The sequence below is a fragment of the Homo sapiens genome, chromosome 7 (assembly GCF_000001405.40).
Source record: "Homo sapiens chromosome 7, GRCh38.p14 Primary Assembly".
Lineage (NCBI taxonomy): Eukaryota > Metazoa > Chordata > Mammalia > Primates > Hominidae > Homo > Homo sapiens.
The window spans coordinates 111,958-135,438 of NC_000007.14; the positions used below are offsets into that span (position 1 = coordinate 111,958).

A 23,481-nucleotide genomic window follows, 5' to 3' on the forward strand; every position below is an offset into this window, starting at 1 on the left:
TTCTGAGTACAAGCCCATTGTCAGATGTGGATTTTGTAAAATTATTCTGCCAGTTTGTAGTCTGCTTTTGCATTCCCTTAACTCTGTTTAATTTTGAGCAACCTTTTCAATTTTGCTGAATTTGTTTTATCATTTTTTATCATCTGTGCTTTCACATCTTGTTTCTAAAAAATGTTTATTCTAGCCCAAGTCATAAAAATTCTTCTGTATGTTTTCTTCTAGAACTTTAAAAGTTCTAATAATTTTCAGTCCATGATCCATCTCAAGATAATTTTGCATGTGGTGGGAGGTAAGGCTTGAAGGTTATTTTGTTTTTCCATGTAGATATCAACTTATCCTGGCACCATTTATTGAAACAGCTAGTTCTGAAAGAATTAAATTTTTACCTTTACCAGCAATCAAGGGACTATATAAATGTGGGTCTTTCTGACTTCCCCTTCGGCTCAGTTGGCCTCTGTGTCTTTCCTGATGCCAAAACCACACTGTCGTGATTACCATACCTGTATAGTAATTTTTGAAATCAAGTAGCGTGGGCCCCACAACCTTGTTCTTATTTTTCAAAGTTGTTTCTGGATATTTTAACCCTTTTGTCTTTCCATGTAAATCTTAGCATCAGCTGTCTCATTTCTTCAAAAGGACCATAAGTGGCACGGTAGTATATTGATGAGCAAAGACATACAATCGATTTTTCTATGAAAGTTAAATGCTGCAACTTGGCTAAACTAATTTTATTTGTACTAATAGTTTGGTTTTTATGGTGGTAAAATTCACATATTATAAAATTCACTATTTTCACAATTTTGAAGTGCACAATTCAGTGGCATCCAGTGCGTTCACCACGTTGTCGGCCCCAGGACATTCGCATCACCAAGAAAGGAGACACCACATCAATCGAGGTGTCACTCTCTGTTCCTCCCTTCCCCCAGCTCCTGTCACCACTAACCTGCGTTCTGCCTCTTTAGATCTGCCCATTTCGTATAACTGGAATCATATAACATGCGGCCCTTTGTGTCCGTCTTCTTTCACTCATCATGTTTTCAGTTTCAAGGTTCATCCATATTGTGGCATGTTAGGGCTTCATTCCTGTTTGTGGTTGATGAGTAGACCACGCTTTCTCAGTGCCTATGCTAGTTGTTTGTAAGTTTCTTAAGATACTTCCTCATACATGATTCATGATATCTGCATAAAGAGGCAGTTCTTCTTCTCCCTTTCCAGTGTTTATGCTTTAACTTTAATGTCATTTAAAGCTACCTGTGTCTCTGTTCTTCAAGTGCAATTTTGGAAGACAGCATGTGTGTGGGTCTTGTTTTCATATCTATTCTGACAACCTCTGCGTTTTACCTGAAATCTTTGGTCCACTCATATTTAAATAAGTATTGACATGGTTATGTCTGGGTCTGTAATTTTATGCCTCGCTCTCTATACATACCCTCCAGTTCCCCCCTTTGTTTCTCATTTCTTAACTTTTTTTAGGGTTACGTGAATATTTACTGATTGATTTTTCTCCTCATTATATTTTGTGAATATACGTGAATATTTATTGATTGATCTTTCTCCTTATTAAGCTTTTTCAGCATGGTATCACCTCAGTAGTAGAGCATAATCAGTCCTAGACTAATTTAGGCCCCACCCAAAAAAGCTTAAAATCAAGCCTCAAATATATCAAATTGTTTCCAAGTAAAGTAACTTCATCCCTGAAAAGTTTTAAAATAATTTTAGGAGTGCAAAACTATCCAGGATCTAACAAGGAAAAGTACATGATGTCTAGCATACAGTAAAAAATCACCAAGTATGCAAAGAGGCAGGAAAACACATCATGTAATGAGGAATATCAACAAATTGAAACTAATTCACAAATGGCACAGATGAGGGCATTCCTAGACACAGATGAACTGTAGTTATTATCACTCTATTCCACATGATAACGTTAAGCAGAGATATGAAAAACATTAAAAAGTCCCAATTCTAACTTTTAGAGATGAAACCATTTCTGAGATAAAGAAAATTCACTGGATGAGATGATGAGATTAGACAGACACTACAAAAGGAAAGATTAATGAACTTAAAGGTATATAATAGAAACCATCCAAAGTGAAACACAGACAGAAAATAGACCCCTTCAAAAGGAGCAGAAAGCTAATTGGGGGGCAACTTCAATTGGCCTAAAATTCATACATTTAGAGTCCCAGAAAGAAAACAAAGAAAAAAAAACAGAAAAAAAAGGAGGACATAATGACTGAAATCTTTTGAAATTTGCTTTTTAAAAGCTACATATCCCAGTCCAAAAAGTATGAAGTACGAAGAAGGCACATCTTAACCAAACTGCTTAAACTGGGTAAGAACGAGACAATCTTAACAGCAGGCAGAAGAAAAGAGACGTGCTGGGTACAGAGGAACAAAGACAAGGATGACGACAGGTTTCTCCTTGAAAATGAGGCGAGCTAGAGGACAGTGGAACAAGCTCTGCAAAGTACTGCCGGGAAAAGCCTGTTGATTTGTGATTCTGTACCTGGCAACAAAGGTAGAAACAGGGTGAGATATCAAGTTTTTCAGACATATAAAAGCTAAAATATTAATCATACCAGCAGATAAGCACTAAGAGATATTAAAGAAAGTCCTTTGGACAAGAGGAAAATGACATTATAGGAGACCCGATAGAAGCACAGGAAGGAAAAGCATGTTTTGCTGGGTATAGAACATGTAGAGAAATAAAATATGTGCCCACAAGGACATGAAGGAGGGCAGGGAATGGAAGTGTGCTGCTGTAAGGTTATTAAACCATCATGATGTAGTGTAATATTATTTGAAGATAGATTATGATAAGTTGAAGGTGCACACTATAAACCCTAAAATGTATACACACACACGCACACATACATATGTACAGACAGAGTTATGGGGAATAAGCCAACAGAAGTGATTAAATGGGATGATTAAAAAATACCCAGTCCAGAAGAAGGCTGGCTAAGAGGAACAGGAAACAAAAAGTAGACAGGATAAATAAAATGCAAATAGCAAGATGGTGGTTTAAGTCCAACCATTATCAACAGTGATGGTAGATGAAAATGATCTATAACCATTGGTCTAATTCAGTGGCAGTTTGTCAGACTTAATAACAAAGCAAGACCCAACTAATTGCTGCCTACCCAAAACCCACTTTAAATATAAATTCACAAATACATGAAAACTAATGGGATTTTAAAAGATACACTGTACTAACACTAGTCAAAAAAAAAAAAAGCGGGAACAGCTATATTAATATTGAACAATGAACACAACCAGCATTATAAAGAAGGTCATTTTGTACCAGCCTTTAGCTGGGCTTCTTTTATCTGCTTTGAGTGTGTGCAGTTCAGGGCCAGTCGGAAACATGAGTAGAGTCCGCCAAGTTTCCCCTTCTGGACGCTCCCCCCCTCCACTGGCCACAGCTTCCCCAATTTCGTCCTGCTCCTGTTCCAGGCCATGAAGACTGTGGTCTTCCCTGAGGACCCCCAGCTCCTCATGCCCTAACTACATAGTGCTCAGGCTAACAGCCACGGTCAAAGAGAACGTGCTTCCTGCAACTCCTTTATCCCCCGTGTACACCCCAGGTCCGTCTTGCTGTTCACTCTCCAACGCCCACAAGCAGCCTGTTTGCATTGTGTACAGATTTTGAAGCTGTTTTCTGTAAGGGAGTGGGTTTGGTGTGATCTTACAAAATCCTTACAGGAAGCAGAACCAGCAATTACCCATCCACTTTTAGAACTGCCTTGTGCATGAACCTTTTGTCCTTTGAGTCACACTTGGAAAAAGTGTAGGCTTCGTCTGTTGCAAAGGTCATGGTGGCTTCACTCCAAGAAACTTGAGAAACAGTTATTGTTTTAAACAGGGCACAACTGCAGTGTCCTGAGGAGCCCTGCATGGCCATGGAGTTTGCTGGATGAGGGATATGGACGGGCTCCTGCAGCGAGAACAGAGACAGAGAGGGAGAGGGAGAGACAAAGAGGAGACAGAGAGGGAGAGGGAGAGACAAAGAGGAGACAGAGAGGGAGAGGGAGAGACAAAGAGGAGACAGAGATACAGGCAGAGAGAAGTGGGAGAGACAGAGGAGAGAGAATATCTGGCAAACACATTCCACTTTCGGATTCCTGCTCTGGACATGGAGGCCTGCTCTTCTCCATAAGCCCTCTCCCTTCCTTCAACGTCCTCGGGAAAAAGCGAAGCAGACCCTTTTCCCTCCCTCGCCCTCCTTGCCCTCCACAGGGGCTCTTTCCCATAACCTGCTGGCTGGTCTCTGTGGCTGAGTTCTGCCCATCCAGGAATGGACTCACCAGTGTCCCGGTCCAGCCCCATCTCCCCTCCACACTCAGGAGCTCCTCGGGTGAACTCGGTGCTAGCCAGGCACTCAGCACCAGGCTCGCAGGCTTCTTCCCAACACCTCCAGCCTGTGCCCCACCTGCACCCACACCCATCATTCTGCTCCGGGCTCTGCCCCGAGGCCCCCAGTTCCCTGAGCTCGCCCATTCTCTGGCCTTCACCCACACTATGGCCTCTGCCTGGCCTCCCTCAGCCGTGTGGACGCCTCCTCTCAGCATCTAGGATCTAGGCCCATCTCCACGCCGTCTCAAAGACGCTGGGCTGCTGCCCACTGTGAGACAGGAGCCCCCTCTCTGTTCCACACCACCCTTGACAGGCACTTACCAGGCCCGTCCACCTCATCTGGTGGGTCGTGTCCGTCCTTTCATCAGATAGCAAGTCCCTCAAGGCCCAACTCCCTGAGCCCCCATCCCCCTCTTTGTCTCTCCTCCAGGGATTAGTGTCACCCCTGATCCCACTCCGGCTTGGCCTCACCCACAACAGCTGGCACCCACCTTGGCCCTCCTGGCTGTGGCCTTGACCCCTGGTGTTCATCCTGGCTCAACCCCTGGCCCTGGTTCTCTTGGTGCCACCTAAACAGTCTACACTGTCTTGTGTTCACCTTTTCTTTAATTATTTGTTTAGCAGAGCAGAGCTGATTTTACAAATATAAATCCGCCGGGCGTGCTGGCTCACCCCTGTAATCCCAGCACTTCCGGAGGCCGAGATGGGTGGATCATGAGGTCAGGAGTTCGAGACCAGCCTGACCAACATGGTGAAACACTGTCTCTACTAAAATTACAAAAATTAGCCAGGCGTGGTGGCGCGCGCCTATAATCCCAGCTACTCAGGAGGCTGAGGCAGGAGAATCACTTGAATCCAGGAGGCGGAGGTTGCAGTGAGCTGAGATCACGCCATTGTACTCCAGCCTGGGCCACAGAGCAAGACTCTGTGTTAAAAAAAAAAAAATATATATATATATATATATATAATTGTTTGACCAAATGCAGTGATTTCTCCCAGTTTGAGAAATAACTCTTCTTTATAAAGTCATGTTTTGGTGAAGCAGGGCTGGGTAAACCTGCGCCACAATGGGTGGGAGCCCGCAGGAGACAGGCCCTCGTCCAGCAGTGTCCAGACAGCTGCATGGAGCAGAACACGCAGCCCTCACCCTAGAGCCCCGACTTGGGTCATGGGGGCTTAGAAAGAAAGAAAGGAAGAGACAAGACTGGATAAGAACCGGGTTTGGTCAAGGAAAGGAGGGGTGGACGTGCAAAGCCCTCCCGTGCGGGAGCCCTGGGACGGGGGCACCATCCCACAGCCCCCCGGCAGCCGCCGATCCCCCCGACACAGCCCCCCGGGAGCCGCCGATCCCCCCGACACAGCCCCCCGGGAGCCGCCGATCCCCCCGACACAGCCCCCCGGGAGCCGCCGATCCCCCCGACACAGCCCCCCGGGAGCCGCCGATCCCCCCGACACAGCCCCCCGGGAGCCGCCGATCCCCCCGAGACTGGCCTGCACCTGCACATCTGGGGGGCGGGGCCCCGAATTGTCCTGCCACAGTGGCCCCGCCGGCAGGGAGATCAGAGGAAGAAATAAAACCCTCAGGCCTCACCTGGGATCCAGATTCGAGGCCGGAAGAGCAGACTTTGCCGGGGGCACTCACGCAGATCCCCACGTCTCAGGGCACCGCAGTCCTATTACCATAAGCGATCATGCAAAGGTGTGGTAAAAGCCATCTGTCATTCATAAAATGTGATGATGCCTTTCTGCAAAGACATAAGCCATCCCAGGGCTCAGCCAAGAAATGGCCATAAAATCTGGCATAATGACCTCAAAGCACACTTTCCAATATAAAGGTTATTCTAGGCAGCTGTTTCCTGATTATTTACGTGCAATAATTTTACACCCCCCAGACTCTGACACGCTCACAGCCTGACGCCCTCTCTCATCAGCAGCACTGAAGCGTCTGTGCGGAATTCTTACGATGTCGTGTTCCCTCAGCACCCATTTGGGGCTTTGTCCTCCCAGAATCGGGGCTCAGTCACCCTTGACACAGTTTCCAGTTCTCTGCCTTCCCCCAGTATCTCAGGGTGGTCCCTCCAGACACCTGCCTTACTCAGACGTCTCCTGGTGACCACCCCGCTATGGGACAGCCCACAGGACTCGCCCAGACCCCACACCCTGCAAGGACTGTGTAGCTGTCCCACAGCAGACCCCTCCCAGTTCCAGTGTGACCTCGTGGGGCTGTGGCCCACTGGCTGAGTGCACCCACCAGAGCTTCCTGTGGGAACCTGCTTGGGCAATACCCTGGACCCCAGTGAAGGCTTTGACCACAGCCCCTGTCCCTCTGGCTGTGTGCGTCCAAGACAGCGCCCCGTTCCCACCACCAGCCCTGCGAGGGGGCTGCCCTCTTCTCTCTGGATCTGTGAGTCACGCTGTTAACTCCAGCATTTTGTGGAGTTGCCACCTGAGTCTCACCTGACTGGCACACCTCAACCCACCTCTCCTCCCGTCGGCGTGGTCCTTTGGCGTGGCTGTCTTGGCTGGAATAAACTGCATGCAGGTGTCAGCCAGTCTCCTGTGACAGGGACACTCGGTCCCGGGTCGGACACCTCGGCCTTAGGCCGTCCACCAGGACAAAGAAGGGCCGACCTCTGGAACCCCAGGTTAGTCGCCTGGAAAAGGGAGGAACGGTCACCACGACACTGCCCCTGCCCGCAGCTTAGGGACGTTTCTGAGGTAAACGAGATAATGGTTGGAGTGTTGAGCACAGTCTGGCCACAGAGAACGTGAGAAGCCATTGCCAGTGTCATCATGTGGTAATTGGGAAGTTTCCGTGAACCGCTGCAGCAGGGAGTTTAAAGAAGATCAGCAGAGGCCAAAGACTCCTTAGCGGCAGGGAGGGGAGGGCAGAGAAGAAATCAGGTGGGGGAGGTCGAAGGGAAGTGGGAACGGCGGGCACAGACGTCCCTGAGCCCGGATCCTGGTGCCCTCACCCTAAGCCAGCAGCCCACGACCACCCAGAGGCCAGGAGGCCCCCAGAGCCCCCAGCACCCACGGCTCCCTCCAGTGGGAAGAGTAGGATCAGCCCAGAGCCCCTGCTGAGCCTGGACAAGGGGAAGGAAGGGGAAGCTCAGCGTGGTCACCCGGCAGTTTCTCCACTCTGAACCGCGTGCTGGGGGTCACGGGGCTCCCGCTGCTGACGAGGAAGCAGGGCCCACCCTGTCCAGCCTCGGCCTCTGCAGACCTGAGCGCAGCCCCACGTATCCCCACGATGGTTGCCGTCCCTGCGTGGGTTTTATTTTCTCCACTCAGCGTCCTGTGACCACAGAGATGGCGTGAGGTAGGAAGCTGTACAGCCCCAGCACGGGGCCCACGAGAGGAAGTCTCCAGCAGCAGCTAATCCTGGGCGGAGATGACAGCCCGGAGCCTTGGGCTGTTTAAACTCCAGCTGCACGGAAAGCCTCCAGCTGAGAGAGTTTCCCAGAGTCTGTCCCCGGGGTCGAGCCTTCGGGGGCCAGGCCATGGGAGCTGGGTCTTCCTGTGCCTGGAGCCTTGTCCCCTGCGGACCTGCAGTGTGGCCAGATGATGAGTCTTGCACTGAGCAGAACTCCTTGGGCCTTAGGGGGTTCTGCCACCACCCAGCCATCATTGGCAGGGCAGGGAAGGCCGGCCCACACCCAGGTCTCGCTGCCTGGACCCTCTGGGGGAGCAAGCTTTGAGCAGGAGAGGGGCCAGGAGCCCCTGAGGAGCAGGAGCGAGGGCTCAGAGCCACAGAGAATTCCTCAGCCAGGCCTGTGACAAACACAGCTGCCACTCCTCTTCCAGCCCCACTGCCCCAGCCACATCACATTGGTCCTGGTCACTCGCAGGGAAGGGCACTCACTGTCCAGGGAGAAAACCCATTCCTTTCCTCTGGTTCTCTTCCCCAAAGACATGCAAATACTTTTTCCAGGAATTTTCTAACAGCAATGATGCACGGACCCTTAACTTTAAACTGACCTAGAGGCCCAGGAGAGCCCAATTATTTCTGGCACAGGCACCTGGGCACAGGGTCTGGCCTGGTTCACTCTGGAGTGCCTGAGTCATGGTGGAAATTCAATATTTGTTAAGGAAATTGGCAAAAGGATGAATGAAGAAAGAGAACATTGCACGGTGTGTTCAAAATGTCCGCAGCTATATTCCGCTGTGAATTCAGGAGCTTGTTCCACAGTGTGTTCAAAACGTCCGCAGCGACATTCCGCTGTGAATCCATGAGCTTGTTCCCCGGTGTGTTCAAAACGTCCGCAGCTACATTCTGCTGCAAGTTCAGGAGCTTGTTCCTAGGTGACTCCGGCACATAGGCTGGAAACACTACACTCACCGGGGGCTCAGCCCCGCACACCTGTGTGGGGAGGGAGCGGGGAGCGTCGGGGAAGAAGGAGGGGCCCGCCCCGTGAGACTGCGGCCAGGTCCTGCCCACGTGCCTGCTCTGCTGGGCTTGCAGCCAGGCCACCTCCCTGGCCCGGACCCCTCAGGGCCTCTGGACAGGGGCTGCAGGCTGCCTCTGGACTCTGCTCCTGGACTGGCCTCTGCTGGACGGCGGCGCCCTGCACCTCAACAGCCAGCCACACCAGGCATGGCCGTCACCTACAGGTGAAGCTACAAATTTAACCTCATATAAGGGAATATAACCATGGCCAAGGAGCGAGGCAAGGCTTTTTAAACAACATGTCAACAGCACAAATCAGAGGCAAGTGAGAACCAAGTTTTAAAAAGATGAATGTGGTATAATCAGCATTAAAGTTTCCTGTTCGGTCTGGGACTCCTTGGACCAAGCATTACTGGGAGGCAACCTGAATGCCCTCGGTGTGAGCGTGGAAAGATGGCAGCTTCAAGGCTGGGCTCCGCAGTGGGGCAGGCCCCGCCCTGGACGAGCACGCGGCCACACAGAGGGTCCTCTTGAGCACGGTGACTCCCGTACCCGTAACAGTCAGGCCGATTCTTCAAGAAAACATACAAACTAAAAGATGTCAAACACAGCAAATTGGCTGCCCATGGAGAAGGGTGGGAACCAAGAGAGGCACTGGCAGGAAAGGGGACCAGTCGGTGAGTGGAGAGAACCTGAGGGTCTGTGGGGCCAGCTTTCCCAGGTGCTAAGGAACAGGACCTCAGATCTCTGAAGCTAAGGGCTGGGGGAGCAGAGGAGGGAAGATGGGAAAGAGGGAGGGAGGAGTAGGGAGGGAGTGGGAGGTGGAGAGGAAGGGAGGAGGGAGGAGGGAAGGAGAGAAACGGAGGGAGGGAAGAGGGCGGAAAAGACAGGGAGGAGGGAAGGAGAGGCAGGAGGGAAGGAGGGGGGAGGAAATGCAGGAAGGAAGGAGAAGGAGCAGGGAAGGAGAGAGGACGGAGTAAAAGGGAGGAGAAAAGGAGAAGGAGGGAGGGAAAGGGGTGGAGAGGGGCAGGGGAAGGGCAGGGAAAGGCGGTGATAAGAAAGGGCATGCGAACCTGATAAAGCCAGACCAGGGTGTCCGATGTGCATCCATTTCCTCTGATAATAGGCTCCTCCCCAATAGCACAAACAATAAAGAGGAAAAACACGATACTATTTTAGGAATGGAGGTAAGTACGTGAGTGGAGATTCCAGCATCATTTGAAGATGACCAGGCAGCCCGCAGCAGTGGGGACCTCAGCGGCCCTCTGTGAACCCAGGGTCCCAAACACGCATCGGGAGACCCAGCAGTGGATCCTGACAGGTACATCACACCTGGAGTGGGAAATGCCTCTCTCTTCAAGAAGCCGTGAAACCTCTTCTTTAACTTGAACTTATGTCAAATCCCAAGAACACTTAGACCATATTCTCCAGCCAAAATCCACAAAAGGAAGAAAATAATAGCAATTGTAGAAGCAGAAACCCTAACATCCTGAATAACAAGTAAGCAAACAAAATGCCTCTTGAACAATTCTTGGGTCAAGTGGGACAACAGAGTCCAAATTTCAGAACCACCACAAATAACAATTATGGAATATGATCTATCAGAACCCGAACAATGTGACTAAAACTGTCTCAGAGAAAAATTCACAGCGATAACAATTACGTTAGCAACAACCAAATACAAACAAGTAAATTATTCATTCAACTGACAAAATTAGACTCAAGAAAATAAAAAGAACAGGATAAATGTAAGAACCAAGAAGAAGAAAATAAGATGGTAAAAGTGTGTGATTTGAAGCAGGAGACTCAAAAGCGTGCTCGTGTGGTGGGCCTTTGAAATTCACCAGTGAATAAGCCTGTGTCTACCCTAATTCAGGAACTGTGAGGACGGCATGGACACACACGTGCACACGAGTCTAACGACATGGGAAACAGTTACGACAGAAGCACACACAAGTGCATAATTTACAGATTCCATGCAAATACTTTAAATTCTAAATAATATGGGTGATTATCCCAGGCAAATATGAATTGCCCCAACTAACCAAAAGGAAACAGAAAAGTAAGCAGACTATTATTAACCGCAGAAGAAATTGAGAAATCTATTAAAACCCAGCCCACTCACCTCCGAAATTCTACGCCCAGATAAATCACAAATTCACTAATTCAAAATGCTGGTGCACCAATCTTTACAATATGATTAAAATTTCCTATTCATGAGCATAAAGAAAGAAAACCCTGTGTTCTTCTTAGGATTCCAGCATAATATTTGCACCAAAACATTGAAAAGTTGCACATACACATGAAATGAAACATACCAGCTATGGTAATAACGTCCTCACACATTACTTCATGTGGCAGATTAAAGACTCACACGTGTAACGACCACCTCTCGGCTTCAGTTGAGGTTTCCAAGCACTTTAAAACAAGTTCAGTATTAGGAAATCTACCAATATAATTCAATGAAATAATACATCACAAAACAACCACTTCACCAGGGCAGGAAAGGCAGACAGCGTGAGCCACAGAGCAGCCAGCCATGACGGAACCATGTGCCATCACACTTCTGCCCCTGGGGGACCCCGGAACCCCAGAAATCAACCCTAAACCAGGCCCACCCATCCCAGCAGCACCCAGGGAGGCCTGGACGGTCACCACACACCCACAGCCACCATGGCAGCAGCCAGCATTCCCCTGCTGGGGGCAGGCAGTATCCGCTCCTTGGAGGGTGAGATGCCTCAGACCTGGGTGGGCCTCATCCATACACTTCCCAGCAACCGTGCATCTCGGCTGGCAGCCTTCACTCCCGGAGGGGTGGGTACCGGGGTGGAGGGACGGCATAGGGTGATCCGCAGCTGCCCTGAGGGTGCCCCAGCCTGGCTGTTTACCTGAGCCTGTTCCTTTCCCCAGAAGACCAAAAAATCATGAAATAAGAGCTACAAAGATGGGAAAGAGGCAAAATTCCCATATTTTGCAGATGGTTTGAGATTGATCTGGAAAACACAGAGGATCAACTGCAAGGCTGTAAGAAACAGGAGCACTTAGCATAACAAAATGAACACTAGTCAATAGTCACCGATATCCACTTAGAAAACAGGAAAATAAAGGGGGAAAATCTCATTCACAATAGCAGAAAGACACATAAAATCCTGATGGTGGGGAATTCAGTGAGAAAGGTAGAGTTGTTGAAGGAAACGGCAAAACTCTCCTGAGGAGCATTTTAGAAGCAATAAATGGAGACTTAGATTTTAGACTAGAAAACGCACATTGCAGAGTTGGGAAGACTGGATTTTTTTTTTTTCATTGAGCATCTGTATTTCTATACATGGAAAAGGACCATAAAGTTATTTTCAATGAGTTACTATTATTATCATTATTACTGTCATGAGAGGCGAAATCTTACAGCTGATGATTTCAGGCAGACTCTAGTGCCGGGCCTCAAGTCACAGGATCCTTCTCCCCCACCTCCTGGCCTGATCCTTTTCCCATCTCTGAGCCTCAGTCTCCTCCTCTGTGAAATGGACACAGTGACGGTAACTCCTTGGTGGCCTGAGGACAGGTGCACACGCAGGAAGAGCCCCACCTGGCGGGCGCCAGGAAACCGCAGCTCAGCTCCCACTGTCAGGTGTGTCCTCCGGTGGGAAGGGGCAGGCGCAGGCGGGAACAGCCCCTGCTAGCTGGGGTTCAGCAGGGCCATGCTGTGCAGGGATGGGGACTCCTGGCTCAGGGACCTGCTTCCCGGGTCCTACACGGGCTTTATGCTAGTTTATAATATGACTTGGGGCAGCCGCCCCCCCGAGGCTGGGAGGAGGCCTCAGGAGATGGGGATCACTGGTGATGCCCGGAGGAGGCAGCTTGCAAGAGAGTGGGCTCAGCAGCGTGGGAAAAGAGGGGCCAGGGTGTCCTTCAGCTAAATGAGCTGCTTTTTCCCAGGGCAGCAATGGTGCAGCCTTTGGCACCCAGCTTCTCACTGTTGGCACCAAGAGAGCCTCTGGGCAGTGCGGGCTGGTCCAGTAAAGACAGGGGCCTCAGCTCTGGGGCTCAGCAGGCCTCTGCTCTTAGCCCCACGCCTGGAATATGAGCTTCCCATGCCTGCCCCTTGAGGTCCAAGGTCAAAGTCAAGGTCAGCCTGCAGACGGTTGGGCTCGGGCTTGCTGGTGATCCTTTCTCACTGGCCACAGGGGAAATAAACGCTGAGGATAGGGCTGCTGTTCCCACTCACACACCGGGGCCATCAGGCCTCCCAGGGGAGACACTGGCAAGAGCGGATGTGATTCTGGGAGAAATCCCTCTGATATCCAGTTCTCGCCTTGCACAAAATAAGGGAAATTAAAGGTTTCAATAGTACTGATTAGACGAGAGTTCTGCACGGCTGACTGTGGTGAGAACATTCCCATGTAAGCTGGCTGCTCTGTTTTCCAGGCCTGATGCGATCATTTGTGCAGAACCGCCTTTAATATTAATGCTGGCGGTGGGCCCCGTGGCCTCTCTGACTCTGCCTCCCTGGCCCCTCCACCCTGTGCTGGCATCCACCGAGGTCTGCATCCTGCATGTGTGGGCCACTGTCCCAGGGGTGGGCTTCGAAGAGACCCTGCTCCCCTCCAGGCTCCTGGCAGAGTGCATTGGTAACCCCTCTTAAAGAGACACGGTGGAAAGAGGGCCTCCACCCTCCTGGACATCAGGACGAGACGTAAAGTCTCCGTGCTCCTTCAGCTGCACGCAGATCGTCACTTTGCAGATGTGAAAACTGAGGCCCAGAGGGAGAAGGGGGCTGTCAAAGATCACATGAGGAGCCTCACGCAGGGCCAGGACTGCAACCCTTTTCTCTAAACATACTTTTAAATTAAAGTGTGTGGCATACCCAGGGATTATAAAACACAGATATTATAAATGTAGAGCTTCATAAACTGAAAACACTGGTGTAAGCCATACTCAGATCAAGAAATAAAAAGCTACAGGCCCCTGGAAGTCCCTCAAGTGCCTCTTCTCATCAACATTCCCCAAAGAATAACCACTGTCCCCACTTCTGAGAACATGACATCATGAATTCTGACATCAGGGCTCTGGCATCATGGCTCTTGACCTCATGACATCGTAACTTCCTACATCACGACATCATAACTTCCTACATAACGACATTGTAACTTCCTACATCATAACTTCTGACATCACGACATCGTAACTTCTGACATCATGACTTCTGACATCAGGTCTTGAGGCATCATGGCTTCTGGCACCATAACCTCTGAGATCAGAGCTTTGGCATTATGACATTATAACATCTTTTTTTTTTTTTTTTTTTTTTTTGAGACAGAATCTGGCTCTGTCGCCCAGGCTGGAGTGCAGTGGCGCGATCTCGGCTCACTGCAAGCTCCGCCTCCCAGATTCACGCCATTCTCCTGCCTCAGCCTCCCGAGTAGCTGGGACTACAGGCGCCCGCCACTGTGCCCGGCTGATTTTTTTGTATTTTTAGTAGAGATGGGGTTTCACTGTGTTAGCCAGGATGGTCTTGATCTCCTGACCTCGTGATCCGCCCGTCTCGGCCTCCCAAAGTGCTGGGATTACAGGCGTGAGCCGCCACGCCCGGCCTCCATGATCTGTTTTTAATGGAATCACTTGGTGTGCATTCTTTGGCGTCTGATTTCTTTCACTCAACATTGTGTTTGTGAGATTCATTCATTCTTCTCATTTACTCCCATTGTTGTATTTGATGGTGTGACCAGACCACGGTTTATCCATTGGTGGACATGTGGGTTGTTTCCAGTTTGGAGACTGTCATGAATAGTGTCACTCTGCGTATTGCACATGCCTTTTGGTGAACTTGTTTGTGGATTTTTCTTGGGTATATACCTAGGAGCAGAATTGTTGAGTCATAGGCTAGGCGTACATTTAGCTTTAACAGATATGAAGAGACAATTTTCCCAAATCATTCTACAGCCTCACAGTTCACATCCACTCTGACCAACAGAAGCAGTTTTGGTTGATCCACATCTCTGCCACCACCTGCTATTCTCAATCTTCTACCTGTAGTCATTCCATTCATTGTGCATTATATTAATTTTCCTAGTTATTATCTGATTCACAGCAAATGCTTAGCTTACTAATTATTAGGTTTTCTGACATTCTAATTTTTGCATTGAAGTCACAAATTTCCATCCAGTTACGTCCTTACCTGTATCCCTTCTGTACCCCTGAGTGCAAGCTCTGGGCCGGGCTCTGCCTGGGAGAGCTTCCCTGGGTGCCTGGAGACCCTTGTCCCCCCAGAAACTGGGTCTTAGATCTGACAAGGAAGTGTGTCCCTCCCTGGGCCCAGCTCCCACTATAAAAGACGCAGGTGCCCATTCTGCCAGGGGCAGAGGGTTCCTCCCCGAGCCTGGGCTCCTGTGGGAGCCTGGGGACCCCTCTAACCTGCCACCATCCAGGGACACATCCCAACTCCACTGCCTGGCTCATGTGTCTGAGGAAGGGAAACACTCTCGTTTCGAGGATCGCAGGGTCCACCCTGTTCTTGCTCTAGACTGGGAGTGGGTGAACTGCCGAGACACCGGCCCCAGCTCTGCTCCTCAGCTAATCCACCCTCCCTGGACGTGTCCACCCTCTGCTGCCAAAACGCACAATAGCAGCACAGCCTCTCTGTGGCACAGGGCTGACAAGATCCAGTGATGGGGACTCCCCCCAAGAGGAGTGGGCACCTGGGTGTGTGCCGCTGCAGGTCGTCCGTCTGGGTGGGCGACTGGGTCTCCTCACCCAGCCCTGCTGAATCTGTGGATGTTGATCCTTTAGAAAGTGGCCGGTCCAAAGGGTAGTTGGTGACACAGCTCCAGACCCAGAGTCCCTCACACGACCCACACAGAGTGGCCCTGGGCAGAGAGCTCTTCCCTGGGGCCACCCAAGGGCACTGCCTTCATCTGGGGCTGGGGGAGACCATTCATTGGAGTTGTTTTCTGGGCACCTCCGGAGTTTGTCATATTTTAAGATGATATGAGAAGATCTAATTTATTGTACATATTTTATTTTTATCACAGATCACTGGTTGAACACATCTTTCTCTAGAGATATGTGATACCATTAACCCCTGCTGCAAACACATACAATTATTTCATAAATTCCAATTCTTTCAAGAGTAATTTATGTTTTCCCTGATATAATTGATGATTGCAGTTGTGCCACATGTTTTCAGTGATCATAGCTTCACACTGTGGTTTAATTTCTGACAGGGAATGCCCCTCCTAATATTCTTCTCTTAAAATGGCTCGTGCTTCTTCAAGCTCAGTTGCTTTCCAGATAAGCTTTTGAATCCCATTAGCATGTTTTAAGAGGGCCAAATATAATTTTGTTTCGACTTTATAAGTTCTTAAGTCAGGGGAGGATTAGTCTATTTGCTCATCAGCCTTTGTCTCCAGGGTGATGACATGTCTCTACACAGGTAAATTGTCTTAACCTCAGCAAGCCTGGGACCTTTCCCCACATGAAGCCTCTGCTTTAATACTGTTCTTAATACAGTTCCCGGCTAAGTTCATGTGTGGGTTGTTAGTATTGAGAACAGAACTAAGTTTGTCCGTATTACATTTTCTAATTTGTTACTGACTTTGTAGAGGAAATGTGTTCACTTTATGCATTTATGTTGTCATTGTTTTTACCGTGTATTTCCTCTTCCTGTCGTATTGCAGTGCGACCCGCTGGGTGCATCACTGAAGGAGATGAGACCAGCCTAGTCCTAGTGACTGCACAAGGCAAGAGGCTCCCCTCGATGTAACAGCAGGTGTTGGGAGGGTCTCCTCTCAGTCCCATTTGGGAGGACTAGGGCTGACCAACTGTGTACGTTTGTGCAGTCCAAGCTGTATTTCCAGCACTGCGCAGATTCACTGGGGTCGAAGGGCACGTCCCACCTCTCTGCCTAACCTCCTGGCTGTGTGGCCTTGTGGGAGGCAGGCATGGGTCTTTTCCAGCCACAGACACCACTCCCACTGCCCTTCTAGCCTGGCCCTGAATCCTAGGAATTTCACTCACAGCCAAGCATCTGGGATCCTTGGTCCAGGGTGAGTGCAGCAAGATGGGAAAGGGCACAGCCTGGCAGCCTCGGGAGAGAGCTGACCCGGAAAACCTGCCGGTGGCCTCGGAGGAGGGTGTTCCTCGGAGGGCAGGGTCGTCCTCTGATGCCGTGCTCAGCCCTGACCCTCCCATGACCCACCTGCTCTGTGCTCACTGGAAATTCCCCAAAATGCATCTCCGTGGGGCTCAACTCAGTTAAAAGGGAGCAAGTGAGCATCATGCAGATGGAAGCCTGACACAAACACCTCCCTCCGTTGGCCGTGCTTGGCCGGGGTGAGGACAGTGCTGAAAGCTCAGGGAAGGCAGAGCCCTGGACGACCACCCTTGCTCCTGTCTCAGGACACAGAGCCCTGGACGACCACCCTTGCTCCTGTCTCAGGACACAGAGCCCTGGACGACCACCCTTGCTCCTGTCTCAGGACACAGAGCCATGGACGACCACCCTTGCTCCTGTCTCAGGACACAGAGCCATGGACGACCACCCTTGCTCCTGTCTCAGGACACAGAGCCCTGGACGACCACCCTTGCTCCTGTCTCAGGACACAGAGCCCTGGACGACCACCCTTGCTCCTGTCTCAGGACACAGAGCCCTGGACGACCACCCTTGCTCCTGTCTCAGGACACAGAGCCCTGGATTGTCTTAGCCAGTGGTCTTTCCTTGCACAGGAAACAGGCCATGCAGAGACCCTGGCAGGCCACTGCTCCTCCCTGGCCTGGGTTGCAAGGGACAGGGGCCCTTGAGGATGGCATTCCTCCTATGGCCCTCGGCCTCGGACCCCCAGGGAGCTGTCTCCTGGCACTTCTTGGCAAGTCCACCCCATGGCCATCTGTGTTGGCTCAAGGCTTTCTTTCCCGTCGTTCTTCACATCTGGTGGCCAGGAGTTCTTCCCTGAAGATCTGGACCTGCCCATAGACCTGGGCTGGATTACAAAAAAAGAGGAAGCTGGCAAAATCCGCAGTGTGTCTTTTCCTCCAAGGACATTTAAAAAATACATGTGGGAAAAATCAGAGTTTCAAAAATGGCAAGTGTTATGAAATAAAGTGCACACGTCCTCTTTTCTGCACGAAACAGAAAGCACGCGGTTATTTTCAGCTCCCGGAGCTCCACTGGGAATAGGGTGGTAGAGTTGCCAATGTGTACACAGAAGGGTTCTTTTTTTATCAGCTGCTGAAGGCTCCAAGGATGGAGTGCGATTCTAAAGGGTGCATTAAGGCAAACATTGAGCTAACAGAGCGAAGGCTGCCAGCCAGCGGCGGAGATGGGCGTCCCTGGAACGCCTCCGCTTCCCCGGCTGCCCCGCCGCACTCCCAGGCTCCGCTGCCTCATGCACAAGGTCAGGATGCTGATGGGAAGACCCTGGGTTCCTAAGGAGGATTTGATGAGAAAACGCACAGGAGGTGCCAGCACACTGCCTGCCACACTCAACAAAGGCCATTGTTATTATTGTTGCTGCTATCATTAGTGTTCGTCTGCAGATTCCAGGGTGACATCACTTGACTCATTTTTTAACTGTGTATTTTGAGATAATTTTAGGCTTACAGAAAAGTTACAAAAGTTGCAAAAGTTACTTCTCCAGGGACCAACAGCCTGGAGGAGACCCTGTTCCTTGTGGAAACTGGCCGCACACCTCCTGCCTTGCACAAGATGTCAGGGAAGGGCGGTGGCTTTGGAGGCTTCAGGGAGTGAATGTCGACGGGGTCTGCAAGAGCTCCCAATGCCCAAGCTGGAGAAATTCTAGGAACAAAATAAATAATCGTAGCCCAGATGCTCCTGGACTGGTGGGGCCACATCCTGACAACCCATCGTAAGTTTAATATACCCCAGGGACATGGATGAAGCTGGAAACCATCATTCTGAGCAAACTATCGCAAGGACAGAAAACCAAACACCGCATGTTCTCACTCATAGGTGGGAACTGAACAATGAGAACACTTGGACACAGGAAGGGGAACATCATACACCAGGGCCTGTTGTGGGGTGGGGAGAGGGGAGGGATAGCATTAGGAGATATACCTAATGTAAATGATGAGTTAACGGGTGCAGCACACCAACATGGCACATGTATACATATGTAACAAACCTGCACGTTGTGCACATGTACCCTAGAACTTAAAAGTATAATAATAGAAAAAAAATACCCCAGGTCAAAATGCATTTAATGCACCTCATCTTCCGGGCATCATAGCTGAGCCCTCTCACCTCAGACATGCTCAGAGCGTGGATATGAGGCTGGCATTGGTAAAATCATCTCACACAGCTCACAGCTGCCTGAAGATGCTCACTCACCAGCTGCCAGCATTTCTGGGGCGGTCCTGAGAGGGTCTGCAGCTGGCGCACGAGGTGAACACAATGCTAAGGACAAAATTACACAAGGAATGTGCAAGAGTTCCACTGTTCACAGTGGGAATCACCTAATTCACACACAACCAGCTTCACAAAATGAGCTCCAGGCGGCCGGCTGGAGGGACGCGGAGGCCAGCAGGTGGAAGCCAGTGTTTAAAGCCACAGGTAGACGCGGCCTCAGCACCTTCCCGTTTGTGCCGGCCCAGAGGCACTGCCTGAGCACACCACCTGGGGAGGCTGCAGGTCTAAGCAGCCTGAAAGTGACCCTCACCAGGCCCTGAAGCCACCACTGGGTCGGGGGCCCAGCCTTCCTTCCAGTGCAGGGGCCCCACCCCAGCCGACTGCAGACTCAGGGTGCAAGCTTCCTCTGCTTGGGTACTCCTCGAGGTCCTCCTGGGCGTCCTGAGCTCCTCTGTGTGCATTTCCTATGCTGTTCACAGTCCTACTGCATGGCCCAGGAGGGAAAGGGAGGGGAGGGGAGGAGGAGAAGGGACTCTCCTTGCTCCCAAACTGCTGAACACTCAGCATCTGCCTCCTTTCTCAGCCAAAGGAAGGCCCTCGCCAAACACTCCTGACTATTGCAGTTGCTGGTCACCTACTCCTGTCCCACTCAATGGCTGCCCCCCGTCAGCCACCTGTGGCCCAGTGATCAGCTCACCTCCTGCACACACCATGTGGGCAGCTCACCAAGCCACCCTCCCCACCATTTCCAGGAAGGGCCAGGACTCACAGAAAACAGGCTTGTTTGTGAGCCACGCGGTCACTTACACTTTGCAAAGCGGCGTGGGCGCTTCTATTCTGAAGCATCCGCCGAGGCTTGGAACACACCCAGCCGGCAGCTGTCTGCTCCACTCGCTCCTCTGTTTTGGGGAAGGGCCTCTGGCAGAGGGAGTATGAGGCCTGTGGTTCTGACGGGAGGAACAAGGGTGTCTGAGGGACCAGGGAGGAGGGTGGGAGACTGTCAGGGGGACTTGCAGACCACAGTATTCATTTCTTACAGCCCCCGGACAATGTGGCAGCTTGAACAACACCCATGTATTATCACAGTCGGAGAGGGTTGGCTCAGCGGGGTACTCTGCTCTCATAGGCCAAAGTCAAGGTGCCAGTGGGCCGTGCTCTTGTCTGGGGCTCGAGGAAAGAACATGCTTCAGGCTCACTGGGGGCTAGAGGACTTCTCCCTGTGGCTGAGGGACAGAGGCCCCACTCCCCTGTGGGCTGTCAGCTCAAGGCTGGCTGCATCCGCCTTCTCAAAGCCAGCAAGGGCACCCTGAGTCCTCCTCACGCCGAGTCCTCTCTGCCACCCTCTTCCGCCTGCATCCAGAGGACGCTCTCTGCTGTCAGGGCTCCCCCAGAAACCAGGATAACCTCCCTCGTTTAAGGCCAACTGTCCAGAGAACAATGTGCCTCAGGGCGGCCTCTCATCACACTCAAGCTTCTGGGGGTGAGTGCGGGACATCCTTGGGGGCCTCCATAGCCATCGTGAAGGTGGCTTTTCCTGACCTAGCTGGATGGGGACCTGCTGGAGAGACGGGAGCTGAGAGGGGTCTGAGCTGACATGTATTTTTGGAAGAAACCTCTGGCTGCTGTGTTGAGACTAGACTGGATATAGATACAGCTCATGTATATTGTTCATTCACAGAGCACTTTCACCAAACACCCACATTCCAGCATTCCTGAGTGTGGCCTGCTACCTCAGAACAGAAAGCGGGAGAAGGAGAGCTATATCATCATCTTTCTGTCTATCTATCCATCTATCATCTATCTATCATCTATCATCTATCATCTATCTATCTACCTATCTACCTATCATCTATCACCTATCTATCTATCTAACCTATCTACCTATCATCTATCATCTATCTGTCTCTGTCTCTATCATCTATCATCTATCTATCTATCATCTATCTATCTGTCTCTATCTATCTATCATCTATCTGTCTCTATCTGTCTCTATCATCTATCTATCTGTCGCTATCTATCATCTATCTATCTATCATCTATCACCTATCCTCTATCATCTATCATCCATCTATCTATCATCTATCTGTCTCTATCATCTATCATATCTATCTATCTATCTATCTATCTATCTATCTATCTATCTATCATCTATCTATGTGTCTCTGTCTATCTATCTATCCTTCTGTCTATCTATCCACGTGCCTTTCTGTCTGTAGACTGGAGGTGGGTGGGAGGGGCATGGCAGCCATACAAAACAGGTACAGAAGTCACAGGTGACAGTGGCTCCATCAGAGTGGTGATGGTGGAGGTAAGAAATGGTTGTGTCTGGAAAGATTTTTAGACCAGCGCTTCCCAAAAGCCCTCTCCCCGCATCCCCCACCCCCACCACCTCTGACACCTAGCTTTTTCTTCCATAAGAGTCTGGCTTAGCTTAAACTTCAGGGTCATTCTGATTTACAATACGGCAAAATCCTGTAAGCAAAGATGCACAAAGACTGCAGGCCTGAAATCAGTGTGAAAAGAGAGTATAAAGGGAACACGTGCAGTAAAGTATTTCAACACATTTACTCTGTGCACACGTCTGCAGCCTCAGCCGCGCTTCTGACCTCAGGTCCAGCCACACATCCCGCCCCCGAGGGAAGGATTCAGACCTGGAGCCCTTTTTCTTGAGGAGCTGGGCAGTGGTGGGCTGGACAGCAGAAGGAAGTCCAGAAGCCAGATCTGCACAACGGGTGGGGGTCGGGGGTTAGGGGTGGGGGTGAGGGTGGGGGTCGGGGGTTAGGGGTGGGGGTGAGGGTGGGGGTCGGGGGTTAGGGGTGGGGGTGAGGGTGGGGGTGGGGGTGGGGGGTGGTCCGCAAGCCCAGGGAAGCAGGAGTGGGGTTAGGCACGGAGATAGGGAAGAAACGGGACAAATTCAGAGTGATGCTCTGTTTATGTGTTATTTATTTATGTATTTATTTTGAGCTACCACAGATCACAAAGAAAACAGCCGATGATGGCTCATGAGGGTGTCTCAGGGAGGCCGTCGGGGCCCCTGCACCTTGAGTTGTTCTAAGGTAGGGAGGAGGGAAAGCGATCAGCCTGCTGGTCCCTTTCCATTGCTCAAGACCCTGCCAAGCAGCCCCTGGCCTTTGCCCAAAGTGGAGACGATGGAGGGCTCAGGACGACGGGGCGAGGTGCTCAGTGCAGAGGAGGGAGCCTGCACCCACTGGGGTAGAGCTGATGGCCTGAGCATATGCGGCACCCACGGGACAGAATGCTCTTCCCCCATCCTTGCCCAGGTTGCTGGAGCTGACACCCAGGTGAACGCGGCTGGGACGAAACAGTGGTGAGCGGCCACTAAGCTTCTGTCCCAGTCTCCGTCAGCTGACCCCACCGAGAGCACACACTTACCCAGGAGAGAATCACACCCGGCCCTTCTGAGTGCTGTGGCGCCTTCAGACTTTATTCGTAGCAGATGCCGTGAGGACTCTGCCCACATTTCTCTGTATCCACTGACCATTTTTATGCCCCCGAGCCCCAGGTCTCTCAGTCCCAGCATCCGGCTTCTGAATCTTGCAGGCCCCCGAGCCCCAGGTCTCTCAGTCCCAGCATCCGGCTTCTGAATCTTGCAGGGGCTGCCCTCTGGCCACAGGAACCTCTTCCCTGGGGTTCGCTGAGCTCCTGGAGGGCTACGCTGTCTGGGAATTTATAACCCTCAGACAGTGAATGACAGATAAGACATAGAGCACCTGAGCACCCCCCAAACCAAAGGGCACACCTGTGAGCAGTGACAAGCAGCCTCCCAGTTCCTCCATGAGATGGAGCCGGAGTGACCCCCACAGCGTGCGGCCTCCTCCCCACCCAGTACCACCCCCCATTCCCACAAAGGGGTCTTCCAGGGAACACATCATTTATTTATACTGCTTCCACACAAATCCTCGTCTTGGGTTTGCTTCTAGAACCCCAGACTGAGATACCAACCCACAATCACGCCAGTGTTCAAATTCCATTCCCACCCAGGTGCCGAGGACGGCCAGGTGAGCAGCAGAGGACGATGACAGGAATTCTGAGTCCGCCTCAGTGAACAAAGCGGCGTGTGGCACACGGTCATGCCACGAGCCTGAGAGCAGATTGCAAAGCAAAGCGTGTAGTGCAATCCAACTTTTGGAAAGAAAAATAAATCCTTTATATATGACGGTGTAATAAAGAATTGAACCTTGCCCAGAGAGACCTGGCCTCTTCCCCCAGCTTCTGAGAGGTGGTCTCTAAGCCACATGGGACGGTCTTGGTTTGCCTGGGCCTTTGGACCACACCAGGAGGCCTAAAGTGTGATTCAGGTAGGGGTTGCGATGAGCTCACCCTCGAGTGAGCTGGAGACCTCCATCCGCATGGG

General features: G+C 50.9%; 1 long non-coding RNA gene across 1 annotated transcript, besides 3 other annotated features; it reads right to left on the minus strand.

Moving 5' to 3' along the window:
• Positions 1-698: 698 nt before the first annotated feature.
• On the minus strand, positions 699-7,474 carry LOC105375114 (uncharacterized). The gene is made up of 3 exons (XR_926959.3): positions 6,840-7,474; positions 5,951-6,104; positions 699-3,940 (listed from the first exon to the last, which is right to left on the minus strand). It is a non-coding gene; the product is annotated as an uncharacterized LOC105375114 (long non-coding RNA).
• Positions 7,878-8,096: a silencer, noted in NCBI's record as "fragment chr7:119835-120053 (GRCh37/hg19 assembly coordinates)". NCBI's record gives its function as "represses an EF-1alpha promoter that drives an FKBP-Casp9 reporter gene in an ReSE screen in phorbol 12-myristate 13-acetate-treated (for megakaryocytic differentiation) K562 erythroleukemia cells {active_cell/tissue: K562(+PMA)}" and the evidence as "EXISTENCE:reporter gene assay evidence [ECO:0000049][PMID:32094911]".
• Positions 21,857-22,359: an enhancer, noted in NCBI's record as "H3K4me1 hESC enhancer chr7:133814-134316 (GRCh37/hg19 assembly coordinates)". NCBI's record gives its function as "activates a minimal SCP1, AML or CMV promoter by ChIP-STARR-seq in naive H9 embryonic stem cells {active_cell/tissue: H9 hESC(naive)}" and the evidence as "EXISTENCE:reporter gene assay evidence [ECO:0000049][PMID:30033119]".
• Positions 22,360-22,862: an enhancer, noted in NCBI's record as "H3K4me1 hESC enhancer chr7:134317-134819 (GRCh37/hg19 assembly coordinates)". NCBI's record gives its function as "activates a minimal SCP1, AML or CMV promoter by ChIP-STARR-seq in naive H9 embryonic stem cells {active_cell/tissue: H9 hESC(naive)}" and the evidence as "EXISTENCE:reporter gene assay evidence [ECO:0000049][PMID:30033119]".